The 20,492-nt window shown below is 32.5% G+C and overlaps 2 long non-coding RNA genes across 4 annotated transcripts in view; one reads left to right on the top strand and one right to left on the bottom strand.

The window, feature by feature from the left end:
* Positions 1-6,851: 6,851 nt before the first annotated feature.
* On the bottom strand, positions 6,852-8,970 carry LOC105373782 (uncharacterized). The gene is made up of 3 exons (NR_136319.1): positions 8,947-8,970; positions 8,749-8,834; positions 6,852-7,356 (listed from the first exon to the last, which is right to left on the bottom strand). It is a non-coding gene; the product is annotated as an uncharacterized LOC105373782 (long non-coding RNA).
* Positions 8,633-20,492, top strand: part of LOC105373781 (uncharacterized) — a 53,658-nt gene continuing 41,798 nt past the window's right edge. For 2 of the 3 annotated variants that reach the window (XR_923661.1, XR_923663.1), the window contains exons 1-2: positions 8,633-8,724; positions 8,960-9,081. This is a non-coding gene — a long non-coding RNA (uncharacterized LOC105373781). Of the gene's footprint in view, positions 8,762-8,959; positions 9,082-20,492 lie in introns of all 3 variants that reach the window. The other variant, XR_923662.1, reaches the window with a different exon arrangement.

Below are 20,492 nucleotides of genomic sequence, written 5' to 3' on the forward strand. Positions count from 1 at the left end.
ATTGATATTGATTTTCACTGTAATGTATCTGTTTGATATTTTTCGTTTTGTATTTTTCTTGCTTGAGATTTGCTGATCTTAAATTTGTGAGTTTATATTTTCATCATCTGTGAAAACTCTTAGCTATTATATTCCAATTTTTTTTTTCTGCTCCATTCTCTCTAACTTCTCCTGGAACTCCAATTGTACGTATGTTATGAGTAATATTTTATTGGTTATATAAATATATAAATTCGATATATATATATGTACACTAAAGGGCTTACTCCAAAACATAATGTGAACTTTTGTACTCAATGATAAGCAAAAGCAATCTAATCAAAAATTGACAAAATATTTGAAACAATATTTCACAAAATGATTAATAAATATTACATAGTATTACATAATTACCAATATAATTATCCTTCAGAAAATGCATATTAAAATTCCATGAGATACTTAGTTCATTAACAAAAACAATTCTGTGTTTTGAGTTGGATATGGAGTTACTAGAACACTCAGATATTGCTGATGGAAATAAAAAATGTACAAGTTTGGGGAGCAATTTAACAGTTTTTCATACAGTTAGACACAAATATATTATAGGACTGAGTTATTCAAGTTCTAGATACTTGCCCAAGGAAAACAGAACATCTACATACACAAAGATCTATACACTAAAGTTCCTAGTAGCTTTATTCATACTAACCCCTAAAACTAGAAACAGCCATAATTTTCAACGCTCAATGGATTACAAATTGTATATGTATAAAATGAAATACACCTCAGAAATAAAAATGTATAAACTACATGAATTAATCTCAAAAACATTATGCTTAACAAAAAAAAACCAGATTCAAAAGAATATATGATTTACATAAAATTATAGATTAAACACAACTTATCTACAGTTAACAGAAACTATATTTGTGGTTTTCATGAGCGGGGGATAGAAGAATGACAGCAAAGAGAAACTTTTATGGTGATGGAAATGGTTGTGGTGGTATTTGTATGGATATTTATATTTTTCAAAACACTCTTGTACAAATAAGGTAGTTGCATTGTCGATGTAAATTTTACATCGATAGATATGAACAATAGGAGAATATATTTCTCTGTCACCTGTACAGCTACACAAATCAGTCACAGCAGGGTTAGAAGGTTAGAGGGACTGAAATATTTCAATACAGGAATATAGAAATGTGGTTCTAGACTTTTTATGCTTATGACACTGAACACACACACACACACACACACACACACACACACACACACACGTTAAAGCTCTTAGTGGTTTCTATTTACCCCCAGGCACAAAGGGCTTATCTCTTGTTAGCGTTAATATTTTGATTTTTTTTCCTTTAATTGGGTAAATTATCTTTCTTTGCATTCTTAGGTAGATTGCTTTTTAAGAATATATGATTTTTAGCAGGGCACAGTGGCTCACTCCTGTAATCCCAGCACTTTGGGAAGCCGAGGTGGGCAGATCGCGAGGTCAGGAGTTCGAGACCAGCTTGACCAACATGGTGAAACCCCATCTCTACTAAAAATACAAAAATTAGCCGGGTGTGGTAGCGCGTGCCTGTAATCCCAGCTACTCAGGAGGCTGAGGCTGGAGAATCCTTGAACCCAGGAGGTGGAGGGTGCAGTGAGTCGAGATTGTGCCATGGGCCACAGAGCGAGACTCCGTCTCAAAAAAAAAAAAAAAAAGAAGAAGAAGAAAGAAGAAGAATATATGATTTTTGTAGTGTGCCCAACCAGTCCTATTTGTTACATGTTGACCAACAGTCTCTTAAAGCTTTTTAGTTAGTGGAAGGATCCTCACAAATATTGCCTGTGCTATGTTCCCTTCTACCTCATAAGCATTTGTTCTTATGTTTGAAACAGAACATTAAACATGCATGTATCTTAGCAGTAGTGTTTCGTACACTTCAGCTTTAATTTACATAAATAATATTGTGTAATAAATATTATTCTAATTTTTCACATAAACTTATGTTTTTCTAATTTGTCCTTTCTTTCTTTTTTCACTATTCTCACAAAGCCAGGATTTCACAATTTGTTTTCTATAGAATAATAATTTCATGAATCTCTTTTAAAAATTGGTTCTTATAATAGTTTAGGAAACTCTATATACTATAGTATTTAGTATTTAGCATTTCTATATTGAGGGTTTAGCCACAATACTAAATTATTAATTTAATGAAGTATTTCAAAAATCTAATTTACTTAGGAATGTCCATGTGTACATGAATAAAAAATTTTTTCCTCCCACATTTATAAAGTTTCCATAGAACAAAAATTAGAAAATACATTGTATCTTACTTTGAAAATATTGCCTCAGTAAACTGTTTTTGAAATTTTATCAACTCTTCCTGTGCACAACCCATATCTCCTCTTTCCAAAGTAATCCAGATTTTAATATGTTGAAGTATTACCCTCTTCTTGTACTCCCACTCCACTTGATATCTATCCAATAATATGGAGGTTGTTTTGCTAACTAGAAGCTCATAAACCACACATAGGACTCATCAAATGAAAGGCTTAGCAGTTTTGTGGTTAGATAAGGACACATTTATTTAGGGGGGATTCCCACATGCCAGTATCTCAAGGTTATTTGGGTACTTTCCCAAGGTAGTTCTCCAAATTATTACCTTTGGGATATCTACTTTGCTTCATCTTTCAGGTCTAGAGATATCAAGATCTATCAAACATCTTTTTATTCTTATTTCCGTTTGTAACTGATATTTATAAATGTAACTAGTCACACTCACAAATTTTGCAAAAGATTAAGCTCCTTGCATCTGACAGAGTTGAAGAAGGATTAATTCACTAGAGAATTCAAATCCATTCATGTTTATTAGGCTTTGAGTAATGTTTTTCTTTCTTACTCTTAAATATAAAATTAAATAGACAAGCCAATGATCATCAGCTATTTGTGAAAAGTTCCAGTCACAAAGGACATAAAAACAAAAATAAACAAATAAACCAACAAAGAAAACAAGTTGAGTAGGATAAATTTTAAAAAGTAAAAAATAGCATAAGCATCAAGAGAAAGCGTTAAAACTAAACAAATTACTTAAAGTGATAAGGGAATATATTGTATTCATGAAGCAACAGAGGTGAATGTTTAAAAAGAATCAATTAAAACACTCTAAAAAGTTAAATATAATAACCAAAAAAGAAAAAAATAACCATCAGTAGAAATGATTGGGAAGAATTAAAATCGAAAAAGACAAAATGTAAGAAATTCACTGGATCAGTCCTAAAGTTGCTGGAACAGAAAATTGGAAACAAACATGGAAAATATTAAACAAATGAAACTTCTTTTTTATCTGTTAAAGAAGCCTTCCTTGTGCTCAGAGCAATGACTGGAAATTAGTATGAATGGAGACATCCATGTGCTCAGAACAATTACTATATAAAACCCTCATAAATATGCAATATCTTGAAATTTCAAAGGATGAACAGAAAAAGTCCAGTAGCTTAATGTGTGTGGATGAGAGGGAGGGTGCTCTTAATCGGGAAGAATTAAAATCTGATTTTAAAAATCAATTCCTGGTGCTAGAAGACAATGGAGAAACTATTTTCAAGTTTCTGAGGACAAATTTGCTCTACATTATAATTCAATTATCAACCAGATTGCTAATCATTTTTGAGAATAGGATAAACATATTTTCACCCATAGAAGGAAAATAGAACTTCCACGCCTTCTTTGAGAAGCTCATACAAATGTACTTCAGCAACAGTAACATCAACACCCCCACAGCCATCACCACTACCACCACCAACTATAGGGCACACAAAGAGAATAGAAGCCAGGAAATTGTGCAACCATCTTATGTTGAAATTGGAGGTCATTTGAAAATCATTCCTAAAATGCTAAGAGATTTAAAGGAAAGGGTGAGTATGAAATTGAAATGTCCAGGAAGAAAAGAAACTACGAAGCAAGAAGAGGGTTTTGAAAAGTAGTAAAGCTAAGTGGTTACTAAGAAATGCAAGTAAAAATTAACATTGTATGTGAAACAATAACAGTATGGAATTTAAATCATGGGATAATGTTTGGCATGACATTGACTAATAAATTCTAAGTCAGTGATATAAGCTCTAATTATTGACTCAAACTTTTGATACAGTTTTGTTACACATTGTTGTCATAGATTTCTTGTATTTAATATCTTTACTGACGTATAACTGTTATACAAAAACTGCACATATTTAATGTATAAAACTAATGAAGGTAGATATTACACATAAACCCATGAAACCATCACCACAATCAAGGTAATATACATATTCGTCACTTTCAAAAGTTTCTGTGTGCCTCTCCCTTTTTATCGTGGTAAGAACACATCATGAAATCTGCCCTCTTAAAAATATTTAAAGTTAACAATACAGTATTGCTAACTATAGGCACCATGTTGTACAGCAGAGCTCTAGAATTTATTCATCTGGCATAACTGAAACTTTGTGCCCCTTGACCAACATCTCTTCATCTCTCCCTTTCTCCAGCCCCTGGAAACCATGATTCTATTTTCTCCTTCAATGAGTTTGGCTATTTTAGATACCTGACATAAATGGAATAATTTAGAATTTGTTCCTATGTGACTGACTTATTTCACTTAGCATAATGTCTTCCAGGTTAATCGTGTTGTCACTAATGGCAAGATTTCTTTTTTTTTTTTTTAATGGCTGAATACCATTCCATTGCATGTACAAAGCACATTTATTTATCGATTCATCTGCTGATGGACAGATACAGGACAGATAATCTTGTTTCTACACCTGGTCTATTGTGAATAGTACTGCAATGAACATGAACATTATATCTCTTCGAAACACTGATTTTATAGATTTTGGATATATGCTTAGAAGTGAGATTGCTGAGTCACATAGTTCTATTTTAAATTTTTTTGAGGAATCTCTATACTATTTTCCTTAGCAGCTGCACCATTTTACATTTGTATCAACATTGTTGCAAGGGTTCCAGTTTCTCCACATCCTAGCCAATACTTGTTATCTTCTTTTAAAATTTGTTTTTTTATAATAGCCATTATGACAGGTGTGAGGTGATAGTTTATCAAGATTTTGATTTGTGTTTCCTTGATCATTAGTAACAATGAACACCTTTTCATATACCTGTTGGTCATTTGTATGTCTTTTTCAGAGAAATGTCTATTCAAGTCTTCTGTTCATTTTTTAATAAGGTTATTTTTAAAATTAAATTAGTTTTGATTTTGCGATTGCATTTTAGATGTCCTTATATATGTTTTTTATATCAACCACTTGTCAGATACATGGTTTGTAAATAATTTTCTCCCATTCCATAGGTTACCTTTTTATTGTTTATTATTTTCCTTTTTGTACTGAAGATTATTAGGATTTTACTTATTTTACTTGGCTTGGTTAATGAGACTCAAATTGAGACTCAAAGCCAGCAACAGAGTGCTTTCAAGTAACAAACATTTTTTTGTCCAGACATTTCCAGGATTAGTAAGAATAAATCAGTCCAAACCAGTTTTAATATCCAGAAACATCAACACAGCTGTCCATGTTTGAAAACATAAGGCTCAAGAAAAAGTGAATCCTCACGGTCTGGAATTATTCATTAAGGAGGTAATGCAGCCGCTTTTTACGTTCTATGGCCCAAGAAGAGGGCGTGGGCTTCCTCTCCCTCAAAACCAAGGAATATGGGAGCGGTATAAGAGTGTCAAATCGTAGAGGAAATGAAAACATCATATCTCAAGTTGATAAAATACTGCTCAGCACGATATTTAAAAACTGGGGCAGAACTAATTGTAGAGTGATTCAAAAGATATAAGTAGTTGCCTGGTGTTAGGGATGTAGAACTGAGGAGTAGGACTGTGGGGAGGTAGATTTATATACTTGTTTTTCATTTATGTCTTTCAATATTGCTTATATTGTTTACCTATATGTATGCATATATATGCATTGTTTTGACAAAACATGAGTTTTACATGTATATCTTTAAAAGAGTTGTATTTATGGAGCTTATGATAGAAGAATGAACTACTGATTAATGAAACAGAATCGTAGAGGTAAGCACATCTCTGAGAACGATTTTTTAGATTATGTTGACCTAGATTATTAGCTTTACAAAGTATAACTTCTGTTCCGAAGCTTTGCAGTGGCAGAAAGTAGAACTTCTTGGAATATCCATATGTAATCTGACTGTAGAGGACTCATTTTGACCAAGTTTGTAAAACAGTATGGTGCCTAAAGCAAATAATAATGTAGTGTATATTTCAAGATAGCTAGAAGAAAATATTCTGAATGTTGTCACCACAAAGAAATGATACATGTTTAAATGGGTATGATAATTACACCAATTTGATCATTATACAATGCATACATGCATTGAAAAGTCACACTATATCCCATAATATGTACAATTATAGTGTGTCCAATATAAATTTAAAAATTATTATTATTATTATTTTTTGAGACGGAGTCTCGCTCTGTCGCCCAGGCTGGAGTGCAGTGGCGCCATCTCAGCTCACTGCAAGCTCCGCCTCCCAGGTTCATGCCATTCTCCTGCCTCAGCCTCCCGTGTAGCTAGGACTATAGACGCCCGCCACCACGCCCTGCTAATTTTCTGTATTTTTTAGTAGAGACGGGTTTCACGGTGTTAGCCAGGATGGTCTCGATTTCCTGACCTCGTCATCCGCCCGCCTCGGCCTCCCGAAGTGCTGGGATTACAGGCGTGAGCCACCATGCTCAGCCAAAAATTAATTTAAAAAACACAGTAGTTCATAGAGACAATTGTCACATTGCACATTTTCTCATTGACAATTTAACAATATAATCAATCACCGTGTTTTTCTGTACATGTATAAACACAATATAGCCACATTCAGTTAGTATTTAATTTGAAATAATTGTATATTCACAAAATTCACAAGCATAGCCAAGAGCCGTATTTGAAGAGGAGACTGCAGAGAACGTTCTGTAGAAATAAAAGACCTCAAAAATGTCAGTGTTAGTCAACCAAGAAAGGAAAAGATGAACAAAACTCTATTAAATTGCTGTCTCATCTTCTATCAATCCAATTCAATGGATGAATCCTTCCCACTGTACTAAAATTTAGTTTCTGATTGGTACTTTGTTATTTTTTCATCATTTTAAACAATGCCAATTTAAATTATATGACACTGCAATGTAAGTACCTGATGTGTCTAAATGATGAAACACCAATCCTTGCCAAAAATGATAGAACAGCACATACTCAGTATTAATTGTGACAGCTATTGCGGTCCCTAGATTACAAACAGCTTTTCCTTAGTTAATCGAGTAGAGGTACATTTGGAGACCTGAATTTTCTTCATGATAATTTTTAAAAAGATTTTTCACAACCTGAAAACATAAAAAATGTAATTTTCGTTGTCATTTTAAAACAATATTTTTCTTTTATCTTGGAATTTTTGTATTTTTGCACAATGGCTTTCATGAATACTTTAAATCTCATCTCTAAAAGAACCGACAATTGCACAATCTGAAAAAATACTATAATTTATGAACAAACAGTTATTTAATCACTGAATATCTGATAGATATTCCAGTGCCAAGCCATAAGCTGACAAAGTACACGTATGTGACGATGTGGTAGTTTGATCTAACATGTAGCACTGTTAGATGCTAGATGATAGATAGATGCTATATTCATATGTTTTGTGACTACAATGAACAGAATTTGGTTTCAGTTAATATACTTTATAGTAGATAATTTAAGTTTCAATATTTCAAGCTAACATAGTATTATTAAATTTATCTATTATATTACAGCATACTTAAAAATATTTTGAATAAGGAATAGAAAAAAAAGGAATTGCTATTTAACCCAGTAGTATTGAGTGAATAAATATGGCCTGAAAAACGGGAGTCTTATTTTAAGGACTGGATAAAAGTAATTCTTAATATCTATTAATAGTAAGGGAATGTCCATGGAAATATAGTAAGATATGTTTTAATACAAATGGCATTAACAAATGAGAAAAATAAATGCTAAATTTTCTGGCCTGATTTAATGTAGAAAAATAAAATCTTGTAAATGACTATAATACTTGCCAATGTCATATCTATCTATCTATCTATCTATCTATCATCTATATATATATACATATATATATATATATATATATATATATATATATATATATATATATATATATGGGTCTCTGATGTTATTATCTGGTGCCCATTTTTCTGGTTTAAATTTTGGCTGGGCTAGGTGGCTCACACCTGTAATCCCAGCACTTTGGGAGGCCGAGGAGGGCGGATCACGAGATCAGGAGTTTGAGACCAACCTGGCCAATATGGTGAAACCCCGTCTGTACTAAAAATACAAAAATTAGCCAGGCGTGGTGGTGTGCGCCTGTAATCCCCGCTCCTCGGGAGGCTGAGGCAGGAGAATTCCTTGAACCTGGGAGGTGGAGGTTGCAGTGAGCCGAGATCACGCCACTGCACTGGAGCCTGGGCGACAGAGTGAGACTCTGTTTTAAGCAAACAAAACCCTAAAGTTTTTTGTGCCCATATTTCTGGTTATAAAAATGATACATTTGTTATTTGAAAAGCGATATATGAAAACTATGTATTTGAAAGTTTTCCAGTTTTTGGTAGGATGAAGTGTACCCTTTGTTCTCTCACAGAACGCAAGTATAGAACCTTGACAGAATATGTGGCACAGCTATTTGAGGACTCTGAAATGTAGACAGAAACAAACAGGTAGAACATTGTAAATTAATGTACCTCCAGAACAGCAGTGAGTCTGCCATTTTTGTATCCTTTAGTATCTCCTGGCCCAAACTTAATTCATTGGGGAACTTTACAGTGATCTGAGGAGCAAAACAAAACAAAACAAAAAAAACAAAACGTAAGGAAAAACTTAAAGCTCAGAGAGAGAAGGAAAATAATATTTTTGTCCTTTATTTTTATTTTCTCTCATACCATCGGCTTCTAGGCAACCCTGCAGTGGTAGTAGTGGTGACAGCAGCAGCGGCAATGATGGAAGCCTGCAGGAGCCAAGAGTGTAAGAAATGGAAACCGCTTTCTCTATTTTCTCTGGAGCTATAGATTCAGACGGTGAGGCGAAAGTCCTGTTGTCTTTCTCTCTCTCTCATTCATATCATATCTATATCTATATGTCTATCTATATCTAATCTATATGAATGTCTATATATCTATATTTACATATATCCTTATTCCTTTTGGAAGCAGACATGGCTCAATTACAGAAGTGGTTGCATTCTGCCTGTAGGATAAAAAAAAAAAAAAAAAGAGAACAGTGGGGAAAATTGTAGAAAGGTGGCAGAGCTAGAAAAACCAATCCCATTGAGTAGTTTGTGAACTACTGGGCTCACCTTTGGCCTATGCATGTAAAAATCTAATTCTAATTAGCATGCAAAAGACATTAAGAACTGAGCTAACAGACCTCTTCCCAAGTTCTTCACTAAGCTTTACTGCATACATGGCACATAGTTGTATAGCAAAGCAATGGGTTTGAAAAATGAACCAACATTGGAACCATAGACCAGAGAATGAGGGTTAGATCTTGCAGCCTGAACCTACCCAGGTAAATTTCATAATAAAACATGAATTTTAACATTCTTCACAGGACTTTGACAAGACCCAGTGTCTCATAATGTAAAATTCAGAATGTCAAGATATAATCCAAACTTACTCAATGTATGATGAATTATGATAATATCAACTTGTCAGAAGAAAATGATCAAAAGATGATAGAGATGTAGGAATTATCTGACAAATACATTCAAATAAGCAAATAAAAACACTTTTGAAACAAATGTTATAATACAAAGTGTAAAAAGCCTCTAAAATATGAAGAAGAAAGAAAGGGTAATTTTAGAACTGAAAACCCCACTGAACAAACTCAATGGAAGAATACAGATAAGATAGGAAAAAGTGAGAAAACTTGAAGATAGATCAATAGCTTTTACTCAGTCTGAACATGAGCCATAAAGAGACACAGAGAGAGAACAAACATTGAATAAATATAACAAACAGAGCTGTAGAGACTCGTGGAAAAAGGTCAAAAATTTTGAATTCCATAAGAACAGGGAAAAAGTATGATGCTGAAACAATAATAAAAGAAATAATAGATTGAAAGTCCTGCATTTGGTGAAAGACATAGATCTATAGACTTATGAGGCTGAATGAACTCCAAGCAGAATGAACACAAAGAAATATATGTTCAGATATATCATAAACAAACTGCTATAAACTTAAAACAAATATATATCTTGAAAGGAGCCAGAAAAAAACAGTTCATTATTTATAGGGGAGCAATGATTTGAATGACCACAGGCTCATCATTGAAAATCTTGGAGGCCAGAATAAAGGGGCCCAGCATTTTCTGAGTACTGAAAGAAAAGAGCTATCCATTCAGAACGTTAGTGAGTAAAAATATCCTTTATGTCAATGATGCAATAAAGACATTTTCATATGAAAGAAAACTAAAATAATTTTTAGGCTGCGAAATGCTCTAAAATAATTGCCCAAGAAAATTCTTCAGACAGAAGAAAAATTATACTGGAAGGAAACTTGCAAAATCCAGAATAAATTAGGAGAACCTAAAGTGTAAATATATGGTAAATATAATAGATATTTCCTCTCCTTTTGAGTTCTTTAAAATATGCTTGCAAGTTGAAAACAAAAAAATATAGCACTGCCTAATGGGGGTTTCAATATATACAGATGCAAAATATAAGACAACCAGGGTATAAAAGGAGGAAAGTAAAGTGGACTGTGTATGGTGGAAATACTTCTACATTCCAATGGAAGTGATAAAAATTTTAAATAAGCTGTGCAAAGCTATGAATTTATTTTATAATTTCTAAACAAAAAGATCATCAGTAGGTGAATAGGTGGAATGGGAGGACATTCATATGATGAAATACTAGTCATCAATACATGCAACAACTTGGCTAGATCTCAGAGATATTCTGCTGAATGAAAGAAGACATTCTCAGATTACATGCTATGTGATTCGATACCGGTGATGTTCTTGGGAAAAAAATTATAATAAGGAGAACTGATTGGTTGTTACCAGATATCACAGGAGGGTATGACTACAAAAGGATAGCATAAGGGAGTTTTTTGGGTGAAGGCAATGTTTTTTTATCAATATGATATTGACATGTGTTAAAATTCATATAATTATATGCCAAAAGTTCATCTTATTTAAAAAATAAGCCAAAAAATAAAACAATTTATTTTAATTTAAACTTTTATTTTAGAGTGGGGGGTACATGTACAGGTTTATTAAATGGGTATATGGTGTGAGACTGAGGTTTAGGGTATTAATAATCCCATCATCCAGGTAAGTCAGCATAATACCCAATAGGTAGCTTGTCAACCCTCACACCACTCCCCACCTCCCTGCTGTAGTAGTCCCCAGTGTCAATTGTTCCCATCTTTATATCCATGTGTATGTAATGTTTAGCTCCCACTTATAAATGAGAACATGTGGTACTTGGTTTTCTGTTCCATGTTAATCGGCTTAGGATAATGGCCTCCAGCCCCATCCATGCTGTTGCAAAGGACATGATTTTGTTCTTGTTTATGCCTACTTAATATTCCATGATGTATAGGTAGCACATTTGCTTTATCCAGTCCACCGTGGATGGGATCATAGGTTGATTGCATGTCTTTGCTATTGTGACTAGTGCTGCAATGAACATAGGAGTGCATGGATCTTTTTGGTAGAACGATTTATTTTCCTTCAGGTATATACCCAGTAATGGGATTGCTGGGTCAAATAGCAGTTCTGTGTTAAGCTCCTTGAGAAATCTCCAAACTGTTTTCCACAGTGGCTGAACTAATTTCCATTCCCACCAATAGTGCATAAGTGTTCCCTTTTCTCTGCAACCTAGCAGACATCTGTTATTTTTTGACTTTTTAGTAATATCTCGCTCCATCGCCCTGGCTGGTGTGCAGTGGCACCATCTCAGCTCACTGCAACCTCTGCTTCCTGGGTTCAAAGGATTCTCATGCCTCAGCATCCCAAGTAGCTGAGATTACAGGTGTGCGCCACCAAGCCCGGCTAACTTTTTATATTTTTAGTAGATACCAGGTTTTGCCATGTAGGCTAGGCTGATATCGAGCTCCTTGCCTCAAGTGATCTACCAGCCTCAGCCTCCCAAATTGCTGGGATTGCAGGCATGAGCCATTGCACTCCAAGTATCCTGTGGTTTTGTTCTGCATTTGTCTGATGATTAGTGATGTTGAGCATTTTTTCATATTTTTTTGGCTACTTGTATGGCTTCTTTTGAGAACTGTCTGTCCACGTCTTTTGCCCACTTTTTAATGGGATTATTTGTGTTTTGCTTCTTAAGTTCCTTATAGATTCTGGATATTAGAACTTTGTCAGATGCATAGTTTGTGAACATCTTCTCTCATCCGTAGCTTGTCTGTTTATTCTTTTGATAGTTTCTTTTGCTGTGCAGAAGCTCTTTAGTTTAATTAGGTCCCACTTGTTCAATTTTTGTTTTTGTTGCAATTTCTTTTGGGAATTTAGATTTTTCACATTGCTCTCTCTGTACTTTGAGTTAGCAAAAATATAGTAGTATTTTCAATCAGCCATATGTTATTGATGTAATTTCAATATAAAAATCAATCACATCAAAGGTCCTATTTTATTAAAAAATATTTTTTCCTTTTATTTACTAAAATACATAAATATATAATTTCAATTTATTTCACTGTTGATCACATGCATTTTTCCCTTTCACATTATTCCAAGAATAACTAGAACTATGCAGAAAATGAAAATGCCATTTCTAATATCTCTAAATTACACTAAAAATTTTTTTGCCTATTGACCAAACTTGTCTATTTTCATGTACAAAATATTGCAATTTGATCCAGTTTATTCTAAACAAATGGATCACATTAATGTATAATCTGATGTTATTACAGGAAACTTGAATTTTAATGAGCCCTGCTTGATTTGGATGAGTGAAGACAGGCATAACACAATTGAGTCAATTAGCAAGAATTTTGTAATCAATGTTGATTAAGAAAATGGGATGATGGTATGTGCAGAATTTGGAGGCATTCCCTGGCTTGAACATTAATATAATGGGATAAACATTGGCATTTTAATGGCAGCGCGTTGCTCTGAAATGAAATGATAGATGTTATGATACATGCAAATATTAATCTGTATGTATTTTATTACACATGACTGGAAATCCATTGAAAGCAGATCTAAGAATGAAGAATAAGTTGTTCTGGTTTCATCTTCCAGTAAATCATAATTATTAAATCTGCTATTGCTAAATATGTAATAAAATAAATTTAGAATACAGATATATAATTATCCTTATTATACTTTTGTCCTATACATCACTAATGAGTATATATCCTGGCTTTGGAGTTTTGTTTATTTCATGTCATTCGCACATTATGTACAGTTGCTGTTCTGTCACTGTTGCAGGCCTTTTTTCCCATGGAGAAACCAATGCACTTAACTGACTTATGTTTATAGATAAAATATATGCACATGTTTTCTATCAGTTCTTTATAGCATCAATTGTTTTCTCCTTCGTATGTTCACTTTCACTTTATAGGCTATATTGGAAATAATTGTATTTTGCTTTCTTTTAATGTTCTTTTAAATTATAGTTTCGTTAACCCATTATCCTATATCACTTAATATCCTTTTATTAATGATTTTGAAACACATGATCTCATGACATAGAGCTTAATATTGAATATAAATTTTCTTCAATAATAAAGACTTTGAAATAATAAAAGCATTGTCTTTATAATTGACTCATGCCAGACCTGAGAGCAACAATTCATATTAATTAACATGACATAAAGACTTAAGAAATTAAAATATGTCAGGATTATGTTACTGAGAATGATGTAACAATTAAATATGTAAAATTAAAAATATGTATACAGACCAGAATAGTAAACTTATTTTGAAGGAAGAATGAACTTCTATTAAATTTTGTATCTGAATAAACAACCTTCTCTTGAGTGATTGTGCCTGATCTGATTCCCTTTTTGCACGTAATTTAGAGTTCATCAACCAAAGGAACTGAAAATCAATTAAAATATTATCTCAAATAATAATTAGAAATAATATTATAATATTAAAATGTTATTTCTACTCATTATTTGAAATAACAATTTCTTTCTCAAGTATTATAAAATATTATAAATACAATTTTGAATATAATTATGGGCATTCTTCACATTAATTTCCAGAGTGACACTAGTATTATTTTGTTGTACAAAATGAAAAACATTACATTTTCTCAGATGTTTATTGATATGATTATAATTTTTTCTACTTATTTAATTATTCATTAAGTGAAGAATTTTTGTGTCCATTGTTAAATTTAAATAATTATTTTTGCAAAATAAATCAGAGTATCTAAATGCGACTTTAGTTCACATTTTTCCTAAGCTATTCTTGGAAAATCTCACCATATTATCGATGTTTATATGAATGTTGGGTAGAATTATGATTTGTTTAAAAACACTGAGAGTTTATAATAGACCATCTCGTCCAGCAATGTGATAGACACTGGAATTATTTTAGGAAAAAGGAGAACAATATTTCTAACATAGAGTAGAACATAGTCTCTCAGTAATTTGCATCATGCTGAGTATGACAAAAATGGAAGTACGGTGCTATTATGAAAATATATAAAAAAGAAGTTGAATACTATTCAGTGAAAGCCTCTCTGAAGGATGTTGTATAGGCAGCATAAAGCTAGGTCTTGTTTTCTTATCCTGACTATAAATCTGACAATTTATATGTTTAAACAGGTGTAGAGCATTCATATTTAAAATGATAGCTCATGTGGCTGGATTAAAATATATCACTTCCTTATCTGTTTTTGCTTTATTTGTTCTTTCCTTTTTTTCCTGCTTCCCTTGAGTTTAACAGGCATGTTTTATGATTTGCATTATATCCAAATTAGCCATAGCACCTTTAAAAAATGTTGTCCTTAGTTTTCTTATATATGTTAAAATAATATGAGTTTACCGTCAGAGAATTTTTTTTTTTTTTTTGAGGCAGGGTCTTGCTCTTTCTCAGGCTATAGTGCAGTGGTGCTATCATGGTTCACTGCAGCCTCCAATTCCCTGGCTCAAATGATCCTCCCACCTCAACCTCCTGAGTAGCTGGGACTACAGGCATGTACCACCTCGCCTGGCTAATTTTTGTACTTTTTGTAGAGACGGGGTTTTGCTATGTTGGCTAGGCTACCTTCAGAGAATATTATACCACTTCACGTACGTAAACATGTTATAACTATTATAATTTCCAATTATTCCTCTCTAGGCCCTTACCATCATTGTCATGTATTTTATTTTACATATATTATAAAGACAATAACTGTTACCATTCTGCTGTAAACATTCAATTATCTTTTAGAGTAATTAAAATCATAAAAATGGTTGTATTTCACCTTTATTTATTCCATTTTGCATACCTTTTAATTCTCAGTTTTGATCTCAGTTTCTGTGACCTATATCATATTTATTCTACTTGAAGAGCTTCCTTTAACATTTCTTGTAGAGTAGGTCAGCTGATAGCTCCTTCCCTCAGTTTTTGTTTATCTAAGTTTTATTTCTGTTTGACTTTTAAATATATTTTTGTAGAATATTCTTCAAATTTCTGCTTGACTCCATTCCTTTGTAGATAGGAGTCTTTTTCTCTTATTATCTTTAAGATTTCCTCTTTTACTTTGATTTTCAGAAATTTGAATATGATAGTTATGATTTCCTTTTTGATATTTATTCTGCTTTTTTGTTCTTTGAGTTTTGTGGGTTTGCAGTTTAATGTCTATCACAATTTTGAAAAATTTCCTGCCACTAATTCTTCAAATATTTCTTGTTTCCATTCTTCTTTCTTCTACTGTGGCTATACTGATTGCATTTATCTCAGACGATTTGATACTGTCATACATTTTTGTATATTATCTTCTGTTTTTTTCTTTTTTTTCTCTTTGCATTTCTATCTGGGTAATCTCTATTGACCTGCCTTCAAGTTTAATAATTTTTTTCTCTCTGCTCCATCAAGTCTACTGGTGAGCCTATTGAAGGCTTTATTTCTATTATGGTGTTTTGGTTTCTAACATTTCTACTTTCTTAATTTTTAATAATTTCCATTTCTCTGCTGGAAGTATCTATCTGATTGTGTATGATGCCACACTATTCGATTAGAGCGTTTAACGTATTTATCATTGTTGTTTTAAATTCTCTGTCTCATCATGCCAATATGTCTTTCATATCTGACTCTGGTCATTATGATAATTTTGTCTTTTCAGCCAATGTTTATTCTTACCTTTTTACATACCTCATAAATGTTTGTTTTAAGCAAGGCATGTTGTAAAATATACAGAGGTAAGTAAGTTTGAAAGTGAGTACACCTTTTCTTCTGTTAGGTCTTAGTGTAAGGGTATTGCACAACTCCTTAGTCAGAGGTTGGACTTGGTATAAAGTTTTTATTGTAATGATTACTCTCAGTGTACTAGAAGATTCAAATTCTGCTAGTCATTTCTGGTGTTTAAAGTTTGGGCAAATTTGCGATTTCTCCTCTCTGGTTTATTTAGTTATCCTCATTTTTTACTTTAGGTGTTCCTTTTATGTTGTTTCCAAGAGACAATCCGTTTCTTGCTCCTTCCCCAGTTGTATTCCACTGTTACTTTTATTCAATGCTTGCTTGAGTGATGGTGTGTGTGTGCACGTGTATGTGTGTGTGTGACATGGTGGCAGGCATGTTATCTGATGTTTTGATTAACCTTCAATCTTAGTTAGGATTATAAAAGTGGGTATCAGTGGTACAGCTCACAAAGTTGTTTCTTTCCCTTGATCAGAGGTAATGCTGAGCCTGACATCTATTATTATTCTTCACCTAAAAGTAGAGATTTTTGTTTGTTTGTTTTTGTTTTGTTTTTCTATCCACACCTCCCTCATTTGTACTCCTTTACTACCTTTGCTATCAGGCTACAAATTTTGTTACCCTTCCCTCTGTAGGGTAAGACTTTTAATTATTAGTAGAGACAGGTGAGATGGGTCTGGGTAGTTTTGGCAGGAGCTACTGCTCCCATCATCCAGCCAACACGATGGTGGAAGCTTTTACTTAATTCTTTCTGAGAGTGAATGGTGAGATATCTTGAGGAAAGTCTGTAAGATACTGCAAACCACCTATGTTAGTGGCCCTCAGGGCATCTTTACACTTTCACATAACCTACATCTAACATTTGGCCATTTGGTAACAAAGTCTAGCTGGATCTTCCTATTGGCTTATATGGCATTAAATGGCATATGTTTCAGGTAAGCACATGTTTGAGTAGTGTTTCTCCCTGTAAGCACTTACCTATTTCCAAGTTTTCAATTAGCTCTTTGAATTACAACTACAGATCTCTGATGGGCTGGAGAAACACCATTAACTGGCAGTTTTTCCAATGTTTTCTTCTGGTGGTATGAGCAAGAACAATGTTCTTTCTAGCTTTTCATTTTGAGCTGAAGCAAAATATGTATATTGTGGGAATTTTATTTCCTAATGTAATCATTTCCAACTGGATGTCAACTGTTCCCAAAAAACTTTTGAAGTGATAGAGAGGTTGTAAAAAAAAGTTCAATAACCTATAGTAATATTTACACTAGATGCACAGTGGTCCTTTCTAAACTTCATATGCAACTATTTAACTACATTTCCAATATATTGTCCTCAGTAGGTATTGTTTACTAAAAAAAGAATGTAATTACCATTCATCAGAAAAACATATAATATGCTTTAGTTGTTATAATGAATAATGTAACATTTTTGTTATTTGTTTTTAATCTTGTTTCACATATTCAGTCTTAGAGAAATAATTGCATACAGGAAAATTGTATCTGCTGTAGGTTAGATTTTATTAACATACCTTTAAACCTTTTAATCCATTTATATTTCATTTGAAAAAGTCAATAAATTAACTATAATCTATGGCTAATTTGCTTTTATTGAAATGCATATAACAATTATTGCAGCAAATATCAGTCACATTTTTAGAATCATAATGAAGAGATTTCAAATTACTTAGAATTCTTATTAGATTGAATGTGAGACCATATGAGAATATGCTATAAACTAAGATGATTCATTTTTAATTTAGCTTAATATGTTGCTAAACTTAAAGCACCAGGGCTTAACAATTAGTTTCAAAATTTTAAATATGCCTAAAAAGTTAAATTATATATAAAATCCTAGGAGATATTTATTTTATACTAAGATACTCACTTATTTATAATTGTACTTAATTTAACATTGAGAAGCAAAGGAACTTATTAGCAATGCCGTGGTAAATTGTGCAGTTTCCAAAGCTCAAGTGGTTTGGGTTCACATATTATATTTACCTCTCTATCTCTACCCCTATTCTTAACTATATCTATCTCTATACCTATGCCTATACCTATGGTATATCTAGCACTTAGCTACCCAAACATAGACAGGTTTCTTAAATATCCCTATCTCCATAAGGATAGTTAAATATCCCTCTCTCTATAGCTGTTTAATCTCTTTAGGGATATTTAAGAATCTTTTTCATGTTGGAGCAGTTATTAAGTGCTAGATATCTACTTTACAGTTTTGTGAGATTAAATAATTTAATTCATAATAAGCACTTATAAATGTCTTTGTTAGACAACTATCATACTATTTTTTATTAGTCACAATTTCTCAACTCCTTAGTATATGCGAAGTTCTATGGGAAAGTATTCAGTATCAAAAACAAGAATTAGAATTAATTGTGTTTTGTTGATATGCAAAACATATGATAAACACTTCATAAATTTTACCTTCTCTTTTCACAACCCTGATAGGCACCTTTGAGATGCCTAGTTGGAAGTAAGTGGTAGTGATTTGATTCAAACCTAGGTTCTCAAGAATTCAAAGATTTTTTTTAACATATCAGGTGGCTATGGGTGAAATGGTTGGCACTGAACATCACTATTTTTTACCTTTTCTTCCTCAAATAACTCAGCTACTGGAGTTCTATTAGTCTGGACATCTTACTGCAGGAGATTTGGCTGGTCTTTTATAGGGCTTCACCATATTTCCAAGATTCAATGACTATAATCTTGCTGTTTTCTCTCTACAAAGTAAATTAAGTGGGCAGTTTTAGTTTCCAAAAAAATTACTGCTGTGAATTACCTATCTATCTTGATTAAATACCCTAAGTATGCATGCTTAGTAAAGTATGCAAATAATTATTTTGGCCCATGATTCTTTGTTTATGTAACACCAGAATAGTTCTCTAAGTAATTAGCTAATGTATATTTGTTCATCCAAAGAAATTAATTGAGCAGTCACAATGCTGAGTGAGTTACACATTGTTGATTATGGAGAGAAACTGATAAAAGAGAAAAAGAATGATGCATCAACATTTTAATTTTGTAGAGTTCAATGAGTGGAGCTTTCTTTTTATTTTAAAATGCAAAAAAAGCACAGAAAAAATATCAAGCATGCACACAAACACAAATAAGGTTGAATATCTCATCTTGTTTTTTCTAATTACCAACACATTTGAAGAACCCCTTATTCCATAACTAGTCCCAATAGATAGGTATTGTTTCCTTTTATTATTTCAAAATTTTAAATGTTTTTATATATTACTTATATACCATCCTAAACCTTGTTTAACTTTATGTTTTTGAGAACTACCTTGATTGATATCCAGCCTTTGTTAATCTGTTGACGAGTATCTAAACCCCCAATTACTAAAACTTCTACTCTGGTTCCTTGAGATTGTATAGATTCAGCATCTTTCTCCTTTCTCCAACTTGGGCCCAGTCTCTGTACTATGGATTTTATTTATTTGTTTGTTTACTTTTTCAGCTATAAATTTAAATTTAAACATAGCACATTTATTGTTTCTATATACTTAGAACGGTTTGCATGTGGGAGGAGGAATTTTATCTATAATAATTCCCCCTTACTGCTTGGAATTGGGCATCATTTAAAAATATTTACTGTAGCACTATTGGGGGATACTGAATAAATGCATGGTCTCTGAACACAAGAGGTAAAATTGGTAGCTACGAAGATAAGAATTATCTACATATATTTTCCTTTCCAAATAAATCCATTTCATGATTCTTAGAAATCAATATAGTATTAGTAGGAGAAAATATAGGGGAAATCAGAGGCATTCTTAGGAAAAAGTATTGACTCAAACTCTGGAAGTGAAAGAAATTTGTTTTTCTTATATATGTATATATTATACACCAAAATGGAACCTTAGCTTACTTTGTAATTTTCATATAGCAGAAAATATTAAGCTCAACATAGCATATTAAAAAAATGTAAAAAGCATAAAACCTCAACTAATGTGCTTAATGTTAGACTCAATGACAAATATTTTTATAAAAATGTTTAAATTGTAAAATGGGTTATATATTTACATCTTTTAGAAAATGCTGGCTATATAAGGTAAGACAATATTAATTTTATACCTCAAGACACA

This window comes from Homo sapiens, chromosome 2 (genome assembly GCF_000001405.40).
Source record: "Homo sapiens chromosome 2, GRCh38.p14 Primary Assembly".
NCBI lineage: Eukaryota > Metazoa > Chordata > Mammalia > Primates > Hominidae > Homo > Homo sapiens.